The 19,758-nt window shown below is 45.3% G+C and overlaps 1 annotated feature.

Moving 5' to 3' along the window:
* Window positions 24-183: a silencer, noted in NCBI's record as "silent region_14180". NCBI's record gives its function as "represses an Ori minimal core promoter by ATAC-STARR-seq in GM12878 lymphoblastoid cells {active_cell/tissue: GM12878}" and the evidence as "EXISTENCE:reporter gene assay evidence [ECO:0000049][PMID:35858748]".

Consider the following 19,758-nt stretch of genomic DNA (forward strand, 5'->3'; position numbering starts at 1 on the left):
CAAGAGCTGAGGAGTGCGAGCGCATGGCGCGGGACTGGCAGGCAGCTCCACCTGCAGGCAGCTCCACCTGCAGCAACCCCCTGCGGGATCCACTGGGTGAAGCCAGCTGGGCTCCTGAGTCTGGTGGGGACGTGGAAAGTCTTTATATCCAGCTCAGGGATTGTAAACACACCAATCAGCACCCTGTGTTTAGCTCAAGGTTTGTGAATGCACCAATCGGCACTCTGTATCTAGCTGCCCTGGTGGGGACGTGGAGAACCTTTATGTCTAGCTCAGGGATTGTAAATACACCAATCAGCACCCTGTGTTTAGCTCAAGGTTTGTGAGTGCACCAATCGACACTCTGTATCTAGCTGCTCTGGTGGGGCCTTGGAGAACATTTATGTCTAGCTCAGGGATTGTAAATACACCAATCAGCACCCTGTGAGTGCACCAATCGACACTCTGTATCTAGCTGCTCTGGTGGGGCCTTGGAGAACCTTTATGTCTAACTCAGGGATTGTAAATACACCAATTGGCACTCTGTATCTAGCTCAAGGTTTGTAAACACACCAATCAGCACCCTGTGTTTAGCTCAAGGTTTGTGAATGCACCAATCGACACTCTGTATCTAGCTGCTCTGGTGGGGCCTTGGAGAACCTGTGTGTGGAAACTCTGTATCTAACTAATCTGATGGGGATGTGGAGAACCTTTGTATCTAGCTCAGGGATTGTAAACGCACCAATCAGTGCCCTGACAAAACAGGCCACTCGGCTCTACCAATCAGCAGGATGTGGGTGGGGCCAGATAAGAGAATAAAAGCAGGCTGCTTGGGTCACCTTCCACAGTGTGGAAGGTTTGTTCTTTTGCTCTTTGCAATAAATATTGCTACTGCTCGCTTTTTGGGTCCACGCTGCTTTTATGAGCTGTAACATTCACTGTGAAGATCTGCAACTTCACTCTTGAGCCCAGCAAGACCACGAGCCCCCCCAGGAGGAATGAACAAGTCCAGACGCGGTACCTCAAGAGCTGTAACGCTCACCGCAAAGGTCTGCAGCTTCACTCCTGAACCAGTGAGACCACAAACCCACCAGAAAGAACAAACTCCAAACACATCTAAATATCAGAAGGGACAGACTCCAGACTCACCATCTTAAGAGCTGTAACACTCACCGCGAGGGTCTGCGGCTTCATTGTTAAAGTCAGTGAGACCAAGAACCCGCCGATTCCGGACACAAGAATGTTATCATTTTTACAAAATGATTGGTCTTTATTGTTAAACTATCATTGTCAATAAAACAAAGTTCCAGATTTAAAAAGACCAAAGAGAGAGAAAAAAGACAAAAAGGACATGGCAACCAGTGCAATACTGTACATAATCTTGCTAAAAGAACCATTTATGGCCAGGCGCGGAGGCTCATGCCTGTAATCCCAGCACTTTGGGAGGCCGAGGCGGGTGGATCACGAGGTCAGGAGATTGAGACCATTCTGATTAACACGGTGAAACCCCGTCTCTACTAAAAATACAAAAAATTAGCCGGGCGTGGTGAGCGCCTGTAGTCCCAGCTGCTTGAGAGGCTGAGGCAGGAGAATGGCGTGAACCCGGCAGCCGAGGCTTGCAGTCAGCTGAGATGGTGCCACTGCACTCCATTGAGCCTGGGCGACAAAGCAAGACTGTGTCTCAAAAAAAAAAAAAAAATTTACAACTGGAAAATGAACAGTAGATTAGATATGTGTTGTGTCAATATTAAATTTCCTAAATTTGATGTATTTAATGGTTATGTAAGATCTTTTTATGAAGATTTAAAAGAGCATGATGAATGCATCCTACTCTCAAGTGATTAAGAAAAAAAGTATATATAGATATACAGGAAGAGAGAAGGAAGGAGAGAGAAAAGAAGACAGTGATGAAGCATATATGGCAAAATGTTAAAAACTGGTAAATCGGGATAAGTGGGATATTGAAATCCTTTATACTATTTCTGCAACTCTTCTATAATTTTTAAATTATTTTAAAATTAACCTTTTTTTTTTTTTTTTCTTGAGACGCAGTCTTGCTCTGTTGCTCAGGCTGGAGTGCAGTGGTGTGATCTCTGCTCACTGCAACCTCCGCCTCCCGGGTTCAAGTGATTCTCCTCCCTCAGCCTCCCAAGTAGCTGGGATTAAAGGTGCCCACCACCATGCCCAGCTAATTTTTGTATATTTAGTAGAGACAAGATCACGATGTTGGCCAGGCTGGTCTCAAAGTCCTGACCTCGTTATCCACTGCCTCGGCCTCCCAAAGTGCTGGGATTACAGGCGTGAGCCACCAGCCCGGCCTAATAAACCTTTTTTAAAAAGAAAATTTAATGCTAACTAGTACTTTTAAAAAAACGTTTTTCTGTTTTTTTGTGTGTGCTTTTTTGTTTGTTTGTTTTTTTGAGATGGAGTTTCACTCTTGTTTTCCAGGCTGGAGTGTAGTAGCGTGATCTTGGCTCACTGCAACCTCTGCCTCCTGGGTTGAAGCCATTCTCCTGCCGCAGCCTCCCGAGTAGCTGGGATTACAAGCGCCCGCCACCACGCCTGGCTAATTTTTCTAATTTCCTTTTTTAGTAGAGACAGGTTTTCACCATGTTGACCAGGCTGGTCTCGAACTGACCTCAGGTGATCCACCTGCCTCAACCTCCCAAAGTGCTGGGATTACAGATGTGAGCCACCACGCCTGGCCCTAACTGGTACTTATATACTCATCAGTGCCAGTTCCTTAGAACACTAACACCATTAATCAGCCTTCTTTGACTTAGATATCTTTGTTGAGTGTATTTTAATATTCTCTATGTTTTTAGAACCCACATAACATTACAATTGTTTTATACAGTCAATATCCATTTAGGTCAACCCACATATTTACCCCATTCTTTTTTCTTCATGCCTTCCTGCAACTTTGAGCTGCCTTTTGGGATCATTTCTTTCTGCCTGAAGAATACTCTTCAGTTATTTTCTTTAGCAAGCTCCATTGATGATGAATCTTCTCATTTTTCCATGTCTGAAAATGCCTGTATTTCACCTTTAATCTTGTAGACATTTTAGCTGGACATATAATTCTAGGTTGAAATTTATTTTCTTTCAGCCTTTTTTAAAATTAAATTTTCGGTTGGGCTTGGTGGCTAATGCCTGTAATCCCAACACTTTAGGAGGCCAAGGCGGGTGGATCACCTGAGGTCAGGAGTTTGAGACCAGCCTGGCCAACATGGCGAAACCCCATCTCTACTAACAATACAAAACTTAGCCGGGTGTAGTGCTGTGCTCCTGTGATCCCAGCTAATCGGGAAGCTGAGATAGGAGAATCGCTTGAACCAGGGAGGCAGAGGTTGCAGTGAGCTGAGATCGCACCAGTGTACTCCAGCCTGTGCAACAGAGTGAGACTCCATCTCAAAAAAAAAAAATTAAATTTTTATTGTGGTAAAATATACATAATAGGCTGGGTGTGGTGGCTCACGCCTGTAATCCCAGCACTTTGGGAGGCTGAGGCAGGCGGATCACCTGAGGTCGGGAGTTGGAGACCAGTCTGACCAATATGGAGAAACCCCATCTCTACTAAAACTACAACATTAGCCAGGCATGGTGGCGCAGGCCTGTAATCCCAGCTACTCATGAGGCTGAGGCAGGAGAATCGCCTGAACCTGGGAGGTGGAGGTTGTGGTGAGCTGAGTTGGTGCCATTGCACTCCAGCCTGGGCAAGAAAAGCGAGATTCCATCTCAAAAAAAATAATTTTATATATATATATATATATATATATATATATATATATATATATATATATATATAATAAACTTACCATTTTAGGCATTTTAACATGTACAATTTAGTGACATTAAGCAGATTTGCAATGTTGTGCAACCATTGCCACAATCTTTCAGCGTTTTGAAAACAGGTTTTCTTCAGGCTCCTGTTGTTTCTGTCGAGAAGTCTGTTGTCAACTTCAGTATGGCCCCTTTGAGCGTAATTTGTCTTTTTGTAATAGGCTCTGTTCCTTTTATGATCTTTTTGTTTTTGTTTTGGAGACAGAGTTTCGCTCTTGTTGCTCAGGCTGGAGTGCAGTGGCGTGATCTTGGCTCACTGCAACCTCCACCTCCCAGGTTCAAGCGATTCTCCTGCCTCAGCCTTCCAAGTAGCTGGGATAACAGGCACCTGCCACCATACCCTGCTAAATTTTTTATATTTTTAGTAAAGATGGGGTTTCACCATGTTGGCCAGCCTGGCGAGGCTGGTCTCGAACTCCTGAACTCAGGTGATCCTCTGGCCTCAGCCTCCCAAAGTGCTGGGATTACAGGCATGAGCCACCACGACGAGCCTTATGATCTTCTTTGGTTTTCAGATGGGCTTACTTGTTGATTTCTTTTTATTTATCCTGCTTTGGATTCTTAGTATTGTTTAATTTGGCTTGACATATTTCATCAGTTTTGGAAAGTTTTGGTCAGTTTCTTTTCAAATGTTTCTTCTATCTTATTTTGTTTTTGTTTTTTGAGATGGAGTCTCACTGTGTCACCCAGGCTGGAGTGCAGTCGCCCGATCTTGGCTCACTGCAACCTCCAACTCCCGGGTTCAAACGATTATCCTGCCTCAGCCTCCCGAGTAGCTGGGATTACAGGTGCCCGCCACCACACCCGGCTAATTTTTGTATTTTTAGTAGAGATGGGGGTTTCACCATGTTGGCCAGGCTGGTCTCGAACTCCTAACCTCAGGTGATCTGCCCACCTCGGCCTTCCAAAGTGCTGGGATTACAGACGTGAGCCACCGCGCCTGGCCTCCTATTTTCACTTCTCATAATCATTTTTGTCTCACTGAATTTTCCATCTTTTCCAAAATTTACTTTTTTTGAGTCAGTCTTGCTCCATCATCCAGCCTGGAATGCAGTGGCATGATCACAGCTCACTCCAGCCTCAACCTTCTGAGCTCAAGCAATACTCTGCCTCAGCCTCCCCAGAATAGCTGGGACTATATGCACATGCCACCATGCCCTACTAATTTTTTAATTTGTTGGTAGAGATGGGGTCTTGCCATATTTTCCAGGCTGGTGTTGAACTCCTGGGCTCAAGGGATTCCTCCCACCTCAGCCTCCCAAAGTGCTGGAATTACAGGCTTGAGCTACCATGCCCAGCCCAAAATGTACTTTTGAATTTTCCACATTTTTTATTTTTCTGAGCTTTATTCTTGGATTTTTTTTTTTCTTCGAGACAAGACCTCACCCTATTGCCCAGGCTGGACTGCAGGGTCACAATCATTGCTCAACCTCCCAGGCTCAAGTGATCCTCCCACCTTTCAGCCTCCCAAGTAGCTGGGACTACAGGTTTGTGCCACCATGCCCAGGTAATTATTGTCTTTTTTTGTGGAGAAGAGGTTTTGCCATGTTGCCCAGGCTGGTCTCAAACTCTTGGCCTCAAGTGATCTACCTGCCTTGGCCTCCCAGAGTGCTGGGATTACAGGTGTGAGCCACCACACCTGGCCACTTCTTGGGTTTTTTTTTTTTTTTTTTTTTTTTTAGATGGAGTCTCGTTCCATTGCCTAGGCTGGAGTGCAGTGGCGCAATCTCTGCTCACTGCAAGCTCCACCTCCCGGGTTCACGCCATTCTCTTGCCTCAACCTCCCGAGTAGCTGGGACTATAGGCGCCTGCCACCATGCCCGGCTAATTTTTTGTATTTTTTAGTAGAAACGGGGTTTCACCGTGTTAGCCAGGATGGTCTTGATCTCCTGACCTTGCAATCTGCCCGCCTCGGCCTCCCAAAGTTCTGGGATTACAGGTGTGAGCCACCACACCCAGCCAATTATTGGATTTTTTAAACCTATGTTCTAGTTCACAAAAATCTCTCTTCATTTGTGTCTAATCTGCTGTTAAACCCATCCCTTTGGTTTTTAATTTTGATTTTTATATTTTTCAGTTATTGAAAGTTTAGTCTACTGAATGTGGCTTTTGTTGCAAAGAAAAGAATAAAAAAATTAAAAATAAATAAAAAAGGAAGTTTAATCTGTTATATCCTCTTACAGGTTCAAGTTCTCTGAAATTCTAAATTGTGTCTCTGATCTCTTTAAATGTATTAGGTGTAGTTATGTAAAAGTGTTTGATAATTTTTGTTTGTTTCTTTGTTTGTTTGTTTGTTTTTGAGACGGAGTCTTGCTGTGTTGCCAAAGCTGGTGCATTCTCGGCTCACTGCACGTCTGCCTCGCGGGTTCAAGCGATTCTTCTGCCTCAGCCTCCAGAGTAGTTGGGACTACAGGCACCATGTAGTGCCACCATGACTGGCTAATTTTTGTATTTTTAGTAGAGACGGGGTTTCACCATGTTGGCCAGGCTGGTCTCGAACTTCTGACCTCGTGATCTGCCCGCCTCAGCCTCCCAAAGTGCTGAGATTACAGGCCTGAGCCATCGTGCCCGGCCCGATAATTGTTGTTGTTATTGTTGGTGATGCTGAAGTGTTCTTTCTTGCCTATTTCTTTGTGTGCATGGTCACTTTTTTTTTTTTTGAGACACAGTTTCACTCTGTCACTCAGGCTGGAGTTCCCCAGAGGCGCAATCTTGGCTCACTGCAACCTCTGCCTACTTGGTTCAAGCCATTCTTGTGCCTCAGCCTCCCAAGTAGCTGGGACTACAGGTGTGCACCACCATGCCCGGTTAATTTTTGTATTTTTAGTAGAGACCAGGTTTCTCCATGTTAGCCAGGCTGGTCTTGAACTTCTGACCTCAAGTAATCCACCCGCCTCGGCCTCCCAAAGTGCTGGGATCACAGGTGTGAGCCACTGCGCCGGCCCTATTTCTTTGTGTGCTTGGTCACTTTGTGTTAGATATTGTATTTCAAAACCTGTTTGGAGGCATTGTTTGAATCATAAAATAGTGTCATCTTTCTCTAGACTAGGCTAGAGAGTCAGAAAGTCTCACCAGACACCTTGGGCACTAACAGTGGGGATCACCAGTTTTTGGGGCTTGAGATGATTTGGAGCTGGCTTCAGATCCGTGAGACCTGGTCTACTTTAATGCTACAGGGCAGCTCTTCAGAGTGCAAACTCAAAGTTAAGGGTGTTTACCAGGCATACCTTCCTCTAGAGGCCCCGGACTCTGACTTTTGTCCTTTTAGCCGTACAGGTAGTCAAAAGAGCAAAAAGCCTCTTGGCTACCTCTTGAATAATTGACAAAGCTCCCAAAGAGCTGAGTTAAACTTCTGGATTCCTGTTTTTTCTAAGTTCTAATAATTCTTCAGTAGTTAGTTAACTCACTGAGGCCTTCAGTGGGATGTTTTCAGTATTTTTTCAGCTTTTTTAGTTGTTCTAAGAAGATTGTCAGTTGTTCCACTAGGGGGAAAAGAAAGGAGAGAAAAAAATTTAAAGTTCATGATAAAGAAACAAAGAGAGGTCTACATGAGCCCCTGGACATCCAGTGCAGGTAGCATGAACTCTGCATGCACCAAGCACCTGCCCTCCATTCCAGGAGCATAGGCTATTGACTGTGGCTAATATGGCCGGGCGTGGTGGCGCATGCCTGTAATCCCAGCTAATTGGGAGGCTGAAGCTTGAACCTGGGAGGTGGAGGTTGCAGTGAGCCAAGATCACGCCATTGCACTCCAGCCTGGGCAACAAGAGCGAAACTCCATCTTAAAAAAAAAAAAGTGTTTAATAAAATTTATTTCTTGAAGCTTATTTTTGTCTGTTCATTGGGATATTGTTTCCCAGAGCTCTTTTCTGGACCACTCTCACTGAGGAGTCTCCTCAGTAGTTCTGCCTTTGATGCTATTGTCCTTTTTCATATAAATCTGTGGGCTTAATTTTCTCATTATTTCATTTGATATGATTTGATTTGATATGATTTGATATCATTTGATATGATTTGACATGATTTCTTAGTGCCCTCTCAATAACAAATGTTTCTTGCATTCAGGGTGAAGGGTGAATATTAGATGGTGTGGGAGGTAAACTGCATTCATAGACATAAGCAAAGCCAGATGGTCCATTTGGAGACTGAACTTGTGGCTGACCTCTAGCAGTTTCACACACAAGCTGGGGCCATGTTCCTACTTGCAAAATGATTTGTGGTGTGTTCGCTCATTCCTTCTAAATCTTCATATTTGTGAAGAGTGGTAAGTTAGTTTGGGCATTATCTAGGACATTCTGATCATTAGATTTTCCAGTAATGGAAGATCGGAAAAAAGTTCACTAGAGTCCATTTTGCTAAGTCTCTTTCTGACAATTTAAAACAAATTACTGTCTTCTCAGTTAACTTACCATTTCCAGTGTTGATCTTTCTTTTTTCTCTCAACAAGACTGTGGTTTTTTGTTGTTGTTGTTAACATTTTTATACCTTAAAAAAGAATGAGACAGGGTCTTGCTATATTGCCCAGGCTGGTCTCAAACTCTTGGCCTCAAGCAATTTTCCTACCTCAGCCTCCCAAAGTGCTGAGATTACAAGTGTGACCCACCACACCCAGCCCTTTTTCTTTTCTTTTCTTTTCTTTTTTTCTTTTTCTTTTTTTTTTTTTTTTTGACACAGGGTCTCACTCGGTTGCCCAGGCTGGAGTGCAGTGGCACAATCATGGCTCACTGCAGCCTCGGCCTCCTGAGCTCAAGCAATCCTCCCGCCTCAGCCTCCCAAGTAGATGGGACTACAGGCATGTGCCATTATGCCCAAATAATTTCTTTTTTTAATTTTTGTATATGTGCTGCCAAGGTGAGCACTCTTTTTTAAGTTTTTCTAGATACAGGGTCTTGCTATGTTGCCCAGGCTGGTCTTGAACTTTGGCCTCAAGTAACCCTCCTGCCTCAGCCTCCCAAAGTGCTGAAATCACAGGCATGAGCCACATTTCCAGCAGTTTTGTTTTTTGAAAGCAGGGTTATGGCTTATATTTATTCTTGATTCTCTATTCTTAGCCTAGTGGCAGAATGAAGGCTGTCCTGGAAGAAGTGAGGAGGTTGGGAAAGGAACTCTTTTGTAGGGAGGAAGAAGACATATGGAGTGGAGTTTGGGCTGGGTTTGGAACCTGATACTTTCTGCAATATTGACAAATGTGAATAAGACCTTTTTAGTCAAAAGTCATACAGACACATGGTTTGGCTGGGTAGTCACATGCTTTTGCCTGTTGAGTTTTGTGACGTGAATGTGTTTTCTGCTGAACCAACCCCTTGAGGCCTGCTAAAACAGGTGACTCAAAAACAACTTTGTTTTCTTGGGTGGAGTAATTTCCTGGTGTTTTTCTCAAAAGTTGTCAACTTTTATTTTAGTGATGGAGGCCAATCTTGACAACTTTTATGGTCAGGCATTCTCAATATGTTTTAAAATGGGTTTCAGGCAAGGTGTGGTGGCTCATGCATGTAATCTCAGCACTTTGGGAGGCTGAGGCGGGAGCATCACTTGAGGCCAGGATTTTGAGACCAGCATGGGTAACATAGCAAGACCCCATCTCTTCAAAAAAATGAAAAAATTAGCTGGGTGTGGTGGAACAAGCCTCTAGTTCTAGCTACTCAGGGGGCTGAGATGGGAAGATTGCCTGTGCCAGGAAGTCCAGGATACAGTGGGCTGTGATAGTGCTACTGTACTCCAGCTGGGTGACAGAGTGAGACCTTGCTTACAAAAAATTTAAAAACAATTTTTTTTTGAGATGGAGTCTTGCTCTGTGCCCAGTCTGGAGTGCAGTGGCGCGATCTTGGCTCACTGCAACCTCTGCCTCCCGGGTTCAAGCAATTCTCCTGTGTCAGCTGCCCGAGTAGCTGGGGCTACAGGCCCATCTACTTTTTGTACTTTTAGTAGAGACGGGTTTCACCATATTGGCCAGGCTGGTCTCAAACTCCTGACCTCTCGGCCTCCCAAAGTGCTGTGATTACAGGCGTGAGCCACCGTGACTGGCCAAAACAATTTTTAAATTAAAAAAAATGAGGCCAGGCACGGTGGCTCATGCCTGTAATCCTAGCACTGTGGGAGGCCGAGGCGGGTGGAACACCTGAGGTCAGGAGTTTGAGACCAGCCTGACCAACATGGAGAAACCCCATCTCTACTAAAAATACAAAATTAGCCAGGCGTGGTGGCAAATGCCTGTAATCCCAGCTACTCGGGAGGCTGAGGCAGGAGAATTGCTTGAACCCAGGAAGTAGAGGTTGCAGTGAGCCGAGATCACGCCACTGCACTCCAGCCTGGGCAACAAGAGCAAAACTCCGTCTCGGAAAAAAAAAAAAAAGAAAAGAAAAAGAAAAAGAAATGGCTTTCATATACAAGATCCAGTTTCTGTTTCTGGTAGTAAGTGCTATTCTTGCTACAGAAGTCTAAAGACAGGCCAGGCGCAGTGGCTCATGCCTGTAATCCCAGCCCTTTGGGAGGCCGAGGCAGGAGTTCAAGACCAGCCTGGCCAACATGACGAAACCCCATCTCTACTAAAAATACAAAAATTAGCTAGGCGTGGTGGCACGTGCCTGTAATCACCGCTACTCAGGAGGCTGAGGCAGGAGAATCGCTTGAACCTGGAAGGCAGAGGTTGCAGTGAGCCTAGATGGCGCCACTGGACTCCAGCCTGGGTGACAGAGTGAGACTCCATCTCAAAAAAAAAAAAAAAAAAAAAGGCTAAAGACAGTATTTTCTTTGGACTGAATTAACTGGCACTAATCTGAAAATTTTAACTTTTTACACTATGTCCTAGCCAGAGGGAGAACCTATTGTACAGGGAGATTTCAACAGCAGCATGGACCACCTTTTGCCAGATGAGGCACTGGTTATCTGTGTGGGGCTGGCACTGGGATGAGTACTTAGTGAGAATGGGGTAGAGTGGGGTGGAGACTGAAACACGGCCTCTAATCTGGACTCAGCAATCTCCTTTTGAGGTTTGGCAACTCGGTTTAGGAATGTGCCCACAACTTTAAGGTTTGTGATGGGAATGAGAAGAGAAGGGGTGAGGGACCCACCCAGAATACAGTGTTCCACGTCCCTCATGCAAAGAAGGGCTGGGCAGGTGCCAGCATGTCAAGGTTCCCAGCCAATTCTGGCAGATTCTCTGAGAGACAAGCTCTGTCGTGATTCCAGCACCACCCATTATTGCTACATCTTCCACACAACATGTCTCCTGAAAACATCTCCCTCCAGGACATTGTTCCAAAAGCAAGGCCAAGACGCAGGCAGAAGTCCACTTCTGAGGAATGAGAACGCATGCTGGAGACAGAGCAATACCCCGGTGTGTGCCTCTTGTGAGTGGGGCAATTTGCCCAGTTGAGAAACAGGCCAATTAACCACCCTTGGTATTTGAAGAGCCACTCCTTACTCATCTGGGTTCTTTTCTGCTTTAAGTATTTTTATTCTTGATCGTGCCAGACAGGCATGTGTGTTTGCACCTAAAAGGTCATTTTTATATTTGTCAGTTCTCCAGGAAACTTCTGCCACTACCAAATTCAACATGCTGTCAAACTGAACCGATCTCCTCTCTTCCTACCACTGGCTTCCCTTTGCCACCTCTTCATTCCTTCCAGGGAGGGCTTCCTCCACTGTTTCACTCTCAGACTAGAGGCTTTGGCAATGCTCCTTTACTTATTCATTAGTTCATTCGATATTCAAATACATATTCAAATACTTATTGAACATTTCTTTTTTTTTTTTTTTTTTGAGACAGAATCTTGCGCTATCACCCCGGCTGGAGTGCGGTGGCACGATCTCAGCTCACTGCAACCTCTGCCTCCTGGGTTCAAGCAATTCTTCTGCTTCAGCCTCCCAAGTAGCTAGAACTACAGGCATGTGCCACCATGCCTGGCTAGCTTTTGTATTTTTAGTAGAGACGGGGTTTCACCGTATTGGCCAGGCTGGTCTCGAACTCCTGACCTCATGATCTGCCTGCCTTGGCCTCCCAAAGTGCTGGGATTACAGGCATGGGTGACCTCGCCCAGAGAACATTTCTTTTTCTTTCTCTTTTTTTTTTTTTTTTGAGACAGAGTTTCACTCTGTTGCCCAGGCTGGAGTACAATGACGGGATCTCGGCTCACCCCAGCCTCCACCTCCCCAGTTCAAGCAATTCTCCTGCCTCAGCCTCCTGAGTAGCTGGGATTATAGGCATGTGCCACCATGCCCAGCTAATTTTGTATTTTTAGTCAAGACGGGTTTTCTCCGTTTTGGTCAGGCTGGTCTCAAACTCCCGACCTCAGGTGATTCGCCCACCTTGGCCTCCCAAAGTGCAGGGATAACAGGCATGAGCCACTGTGCCCGGCCTCTTTCTCATTTTTATTAGCAGTTATCACTAGCTTGAATTATCTTGTTTATTGATTTATCTTTTTTTTTTTTTTTGAGACAGAGTCTCACTCTGCCCAGGCTGGAGTGCAGTGGTACAATCTCTGCTCACTGCAACCTCTGCCTCCCGGGTTCAAGCAATTCTCCTGCCTCAGCCTCCCGAGTAGCTGGGATTACAGACACTTGCTGCCACGCCTGGCTAATTTTTTATTTTTAGTAGAGACAGGGTTTCACCATGTTGGCCAGGCTGGTCTTGAACTCCTGACCTCTAGTGATCCACACACCTCGGCCTCCCTGTAACCTGGGGTTACAGGTGTGAGCCACCTCGCCTGGCTTATCGTTTTTTACCTCTTCCTCATTGAGCTCATTCACTGCTGTATTCACATTGCCTAAAACAGTGTCCAGTATGGAATAAACGCTCGATACATATTTGAAGAATAAATGAACAAATCTATGTAAGATATTTGTAATTTAGTAAGCAATACAAATTTAACGAATTATGCTTTTATTTATTTATTTTATTTTTAAATTTTATGTATTTATTTATTTATTTTTTGAGACAGAGTTTTGCTCTTATTGCCCAGGCTGGAGTTCAATGGCGCCATCTCAGCTCACTGCAACCTCTGCCTCCTGGGGTCAAGAGATTTTCCTGCCTCAGCCTCCTGAGTAGCTGAGATTACAGGCACCCGCCACCATGCCCAGATAATTTTCTTGTATTTTTAGTAGAGACAGAGTTTCACCATGTTGGCCAGGCTGGTCTCGAACTCCTGACCTCGTGATCCACCCCTTTTGGCCTCCCAAAGTGCTGGGATTACAGGCGTGAGCCACCGCGCCCGGCCTTAAAAGTGTTTTTATCAGGAAGTGTTCCCAGAAAAACACTTTAAGGAAGTAGTGACATAAGAAAAGAAGGAGAGGCCAGATGCCGTAACTCACACCTGTAATCCCAGCACGTTGGGAGGCTGAGGCTGGGATAATTTGAACCCAGGAGTTTGATACTAGCTTGGGCAACATAATGAGACCCCATCTCTACAAAAAAAAATTTTTTTTAATTGGCTGGTCATGGTGGCACACCCTTGTAGTCCCAGCGTTCGAGAGGCTGGGTGGGGAGGATCACTTGAGCCCAGGAGGGAGGAGGGAGTCTGCAATGACCTGTGATTGCACCACTGCACTCCAGCCTGGGTGACAGAGCAAGACCCTGTCTCAAAAAAAAAAAAAAAAAAAAAAGAAGAAGAAAAAGTTACTTTCTTTTTTTTTTGAGACATAGTCTTGCTCTGTCGCCCAGGCTGGAGTGCAGTGGCGCAATCTCGGCTCACTGCAAGCTCTGCCTCCCGGGTTCACGCCATTCTCCTGCCTCAGCCTCCCGAGTAGTTGGGACTACAGGTGCCCGCCACCATGCCTGGCTAATTTTTTGCATGAAAAGTTACTTTCATATAAATTTCTCATTACCTTTCAAGATAAATTACCACAGCTAAGCAAAGGCAGAGAAAATCCAGGCCTAAGACTCCAATTCTCCAGACCCAGGGTTGGGGTTGCAAAGGAAAAATGGCTCTGGATTGGGAGAGATTCTGGAAGAAGTGGGATGAGCTCATTACATGGGGGAGGTGTGGGTGAGGAGGAACCCAGTTCATTTGGGACCAGAGTCCTGCAAAGACAAACGGGTTCTAAGAGAAGGGAAGGGGCCCTGGAGCTCATTTTGGTGGTTTTGTTTTATGGGGTTTTGTTTTGTTTATAAGGGGGCTGGGATGAGTGAAACGTTGGAAGACTGGTTCTATTGCAGGTGCAGGAGGCCAAGGTGAGGGATGAACTCACAGCGGCAGTGTCTCGATGAGGGGAATGTGGTGGTGCATGAAAACTCAGAGATGCTAGCAAGTGCGGAGCCCAAAGGGATGTTACAGCTCTTGCTAGGGGAGTCCTGAGGTCTGAGCCCCCAGAAAAGTCGCAGCTCTTCACCCCTGTAGCTTGGCAACTGGAAGCATGTTACAGTTCTCTTTCTCTCATAGTCCAGTGAGCAGGGTGCTACAGCTGTTTCATTTCTGCCACTTGCAGCTTGGTGAGTTCCAGGTTCTTGTCTCTCGACCAAGAGTAATAAAGTGCACAGACACCAGAAAGTAAGACAGAGAAGAATTTTATTGAGTAACAGAAGGAAAACTCTCAACTGCAAGAGGGGACCCTCAAAGCAGGTTGCTGTCTTTGAGGCTGAGTCTGGGGTTTTTATGGGCTTAGAATGGGAAAGTGCATGCTGATTGGTCCATGAGTGGGCTTGGAAAAAGCACCATTTGATTGGTTAAAAGGCATCATCCAGGCCAGGCACAGTGGCTCATGCCTGTAATCCCAGTACTTTGGGAGGCCAAGGCAGGTGGATCACCTGAGGTTGGGAGTTCGAGACCAGCCTGACCAACATGGAGAAACCCCATCTCTACTAAAAATACAAAATTGCCAGGCGTGGTGGCACATGCCTCTAATCCCAGCTACCTGGGAGGCTGAGGCAGGAGAATTGATTGAACCTGGGAGGTGGAGGTTGCAGTGAGCCGAGATCGCACCATTGCACTCTAGCCTGAGCAACAAGAGTGAAACTGTCTCAAAAAAATAAAAAGGAATCGTCCAGGAGGAACCAATCAAGAGAGAGGGTAAGATGAGGATACAAGTTCTCACTCTGGTCATGGACTCTATCTGGAACTGGTACCTTGGTTTCAGGCTTTAAACTGTCTTTGGCTTGAAGGTTGGGTTTCACCAGGGACCCATCTCTGTCTGCCTAAAAATTTATCTGTCTCCTGTTGCTATCATTTTTACCCTAGACCAAAAGCAAGATGGCAGCAACAGATCATCGCACCTCTGCAGTCTGTCTGCTAGTGGCTACAGCCACCTCCTACTTCCACAGATCCCACTCAAGGATTCTCAAAGTTGCAGGAGTAAGATTTCTTTCCAGCTCCCTTCCTGGTCGTGGTTCCTCATGTCAGCTTCTTGAAGTCTGGGGTAACTATTTTCCTGTAGTAAAATTTCCTGTGATAGTCTTTCCTTTATTGCCTCTCTTATGTATAAAATGGCAGTATTAAAATTCCTTATACTGAATGTACTGTCAATTTTCAAAGTTATTTACATGGTAAAATAAAAATATATTCTTTAAATATGCAAATCTGTATTTGTATATTTTGTGCTTCCACTTGTATAATAAGGAAAGGACAGACCCTTGCCTTAAGAAAGGAAGAAGCGGGCAGATGCAGTGGCTCACTCCTGTAATCCCATCAATTTGGGAAGCCAAAGCGGGCAGATCACCTGAGCTGGGAGTTCGAGACCAGGCTGACCAACATGGCGAAACCCCATATCTACTAAAAACACAAATTAGCCAGGCATGGTGGCACATGCCTGTAATCCCAGGTACTGGGGAGCCCAAGGTTGGAGAATCACTTGAAGCCAGGAGGCAGAGGTTGCAGTGAGCCGAGATCCCACCATTGCACTCCAGCCTGGGCAACAAGAGAAAAACTCCGTCTCAAAAAAAAAAAAAAAGAAAGAAAAGAAAAAAAAAAGAAAGGAAGAAGAATCTTAGCCAGGCTGACTGAAAAGTAGAAAGTCAGGGTTGGAGAAAATTGGTTATTCCAGAGACAGGATTTGGAGGTTTGAATGTATGTTGGGTGGTAGCCCTTTGGGGCCAGGGAGGAGGGGCTTGTGCCGAGATCGTGCCCCGAAAAATAATAACTCTTGGGTAATGGAGTATATTGGTATCTAGTAACATGGAAGGGACCACTTTTCTTTGGACTCTAGGCACTGTTTCATGGAGACTCTGCTGCTCACCAACAGTCTTCAATAGTTATTTTAAAATGATGGTACCCAGGGTCAAACTACTGCATTTTCACCAATGGGGCTATAGTCTGGGGAGCAGGACAATATTTGGGAGCTTCATTTCTGGAACAAAGTCACTGAGATTGGCAGCCAGAATTGAGGAATGGTTCAACAAATAGACTCATAAATCAAATAGCTACATATGTTTCTCCTGAATAGGTACAGCAAAGATTAAGAGGCAGGAGTGTTTCCCTAGCCCAGCTCTAATTTCCTAATCTTGGTAATCTTTTTTTTTTTTTTTGAGACAGAGTCTTGCTCTGTCGCCCAGGCTGGAGTGCAGTGTCGTGATCTCGGCTCACTGCAACCTCCGCCTCCCAGGTTCAAGCGATTCTCCTGCCTAAGCCTCCTGAGTAGCTGGGATTACAGGCATGCACCACCATGCCCAGCTAATATTTGTATTTTTAGTAGAGATGGGGTTTCATCATGTTGGTCAGGCTGGTCTCAAACTCCTGACCTTGTGATCCGCCTGCCTCAGCCTTTCAAAGTGCTGGGATTACAGTCATGAGCCACCGCGCCCAGCTGGCAATCTTTATTTGGAGAATTTGAGGAAGAGATCAGTGCTCTTCTTAGTCGTATCAACCATATACCGCTTCCATACTCTTCTTAACAATAGCAAGGGCAGTGGGATGCGGAGCTCTCCTGCTGAAGGGGCTGCTGGGAACAGAAGTAGGTATAGGTCCTGCCAGGAAGCACAGGAAAGATGAGGGTCCAGGTAGTGCTTTCCCTCACTGCAGGCCTGTCCTAGTGCCAGAGGCAACAGTGTGCTTCTGGGGAGAGGCACATTCATATATTCATTTAGCATTAACTGCTTAATTGATTGATAGATTCATTCATATCATTTATTCTTGAACTTACGTCTTTGGGCAGTAAGAACTGTATTCTTGTTAGCATTCTTTCATATTCCCATTTCTTCTACCTTAATGTATCATCAGCAATTATTTGTCATTAGGCATTCAAGTGATGTTGCGTACTCATTCATTCTAATTTTCTGCCTCCATTTACTCAAATTTCATTTACTTATTTATTTCAACTTCAAATTTCCTTTTTTATATTTCATAACTTCACTCAAATGTATTCATTTGTTCATTCAAATTAAATTTAATTATTTTAAATAAATGATTCAAAGGAGAAATACTCAAATCTCTTCATTTTTTCTTTTTTTTTTGCATTGTGATGTGCAAAAGAAAAGAGGCAAGAAAGAAAGGCAGAAAGTGCTTCTATGGTAGATCAGATTGATCTATCTATCACCTATCTATCTACCTATCTTCTATCTATCTATCATCTATCTATCTATCTATCTATATCTATTATCTATCATCTATCTCTCTATCTGCCATCTACTCATTCCTCCGTCCAATCTATCAATTCCCAATTCCATCCACCCAGTTCCCACCTGAGACAAAGTTCCAGAGTTCTGCGTTTTGTTATCCCCATTCTTTGAAGACCAGTTGCCCCAAATCAAAAAGGTTCCTGGAAACTGGGGCTGCTCTCATGTGTTACTCAGTAGCACGTTTCCCTGTTTTGAGTGTCCTAGATTAGATTTAAGTGTCCCTGAGTCAGCAAGTCTTCTGCATGGTCCCGGAGGCAAGAGGACCAAGCATGGGAAGAGGACCAAGAACTGCACCATATTTCTTTCCACCCTCAGACTTGCCCCAGATTTTGGTTCCAGGCTCATCCCAGAAGAGTTTCACTTATATGGGTAAAGTGTATCTGAATTATGCAAGTAGCCCTGGTGTCTCTGGCTAGTGGGAGTCAGAATGTTTGCGGCCAGGACAGTGTCTACTTCTGTAGGCCTAGAGGAAAACAGCTCATTTTTCCCTGAAACAAATTCAGGATCCATGAGATAGGGATCCCAGATGCCTGAAGCCATCCATCTACTAGGGATGAGGTGGTTCAGACCCAAGTAGTCGCAGGGATCCCCCATGGAAAACAGTCAAAGTATACCTGCCATGACAAAGAGTGACCTCTGAATAAAATGCTCCCAGTGACTTCTGATGAGGAACCATTGGATTCTATTTTATTTATTTATTTATTTTTGAGACAGACTCTCGCTCTGTCATCCAGGCTGGAGTGCAGTGGCACAATCTCGGCTCACTGCAACCTCCGCCTACCAGGTTCAAGCAATCCTCCTGCCTCAGCCTCCAGAGTAGCTGGGATTACAGGCGCCCTCCACCACGCCTGGCTAATTTTCGTATTTTTAGTAGAGATGGGGTTTCACTATATTGGTCAGGCTGGCTTTGAACGCCTGACCTCAGGTGATCCACCCACCTTGGCTTCCCAAAGTGCTGGGATTACAGGTGTGAGCCATCGCGCCCGGCCGTGGATTCTACTAATAGGGAGCTCAGACCCACATAAAGCTATGGGTTAAAATTGGGGTCAGGCCTTGTATTTGACCATGTTTTCTTAAATATGACATCAAAAGCTGAGACAACAAAAGATAAATTAGATAATTTGGACTTCCTTAAAGTTTAAAATTTTTGTGCATTAAAGGACACTATTGGCCAGGCACAGTAGTTCAAAGTGTAACCATTTTGGGATTGGGTGGGATGTGGTGGCTCACACCTGTAATCCCAGTACTTTGGGAGGCTGAGGCGGGAGGCTTGCTTGAACTCAGAAGTTTGAGACTAGCCTGGCCAACATGGCAAAACCCTATCTCTACAAAAATATAAAAATTAGCTGGGTGTGGTGATGCATACCTGTACTTGAGCTACTCAGGAGGCTAAGGTGGGAGGATCACCTGAGCCCAAGCGTTCGAGACTACAGTGAGCCAAGATCACACCACTGCACTCCAGCCTGGGTGACAGAGCAGGTCCCTGTCTCAGAAAACAAACAAACAAACAAACACCAGGAAAAGCTCAGTTATCTAGGACTCAACCAGAATCCTTGGCTTCTTTAGTTTCCTTATAAAACAAACAAAAAACCAAAGTGCAAACCCAGCACTTTAGGAGGCTGAGGCAGGAGGATTGCTTGAGGCCAGGAGTTGGAGACCAGCCTGGGCAACATAGTAAGATACCTCTACAAAATATAGACATATATATTAGCTGGGCTCTGACAGACTGCACCTCCATGTGCCACTCAGACATGCCCCCCGCTGCTCCCTCATGAGCAAAGGCTGGAGAAGCCTTCCGGCCACTAACTGCCGGCCGCCGTGTTGTATCCTGGTGGATACAGGATACACGTGGTGGAGGTGGTGGAGGTTGGGGTCCAGACATGTTGGTGTCAGTAGGAGGGCCAGGCCACACGTGTCCCAGATTACTGGGGGGTACATTGAGGGGTGGGCTGTGGGGTGAACAGGATTCATCCCTGAAAATAATCTGCCTCAGGGCACAGAAATCCCCACCTGGCCAGAGACCTGGGCCATTTCCTCCCACCAGTGATTCTCTAACTGTAATATGGGGACAGCCTGGGTAGGATGAGGCTGTCGGGGTTGGGTCTCTCCTGAGGTTGAAGGGATGTGGCCAGAAGGATTAAGATGATTAACCAAGTATCCATCCCATTGCAGTAACTGAATTTGCCCTTCAGTGAACACTTTGGCCTCCTCTTGATCTCACAATGGTATATTTTTCATAATACAAAAATAATGCATATTTCATCCTTCAGACTTTGAAAAAAATACTTGTATGTTAACTTTTATTCCTTGGATGCATAGAAGAAATTAAGTGGTGTCCCCTGTTGTCACCTGATTAGGAGGAATTGTTGGGATTAAGCTCCAAGAAAGAGTGC

This window comes from Homo sapiens, chromosome 3 (assembly GCF_000001405.40).
Source record: "Homo sapiens chromosome 3, GRCh38.p14 Primary Assembly".
NCBI lineage: Eukaryota > Metazoa > Chordata > Mammalia > Primates > Hominidae > Homo > Homo sapiens.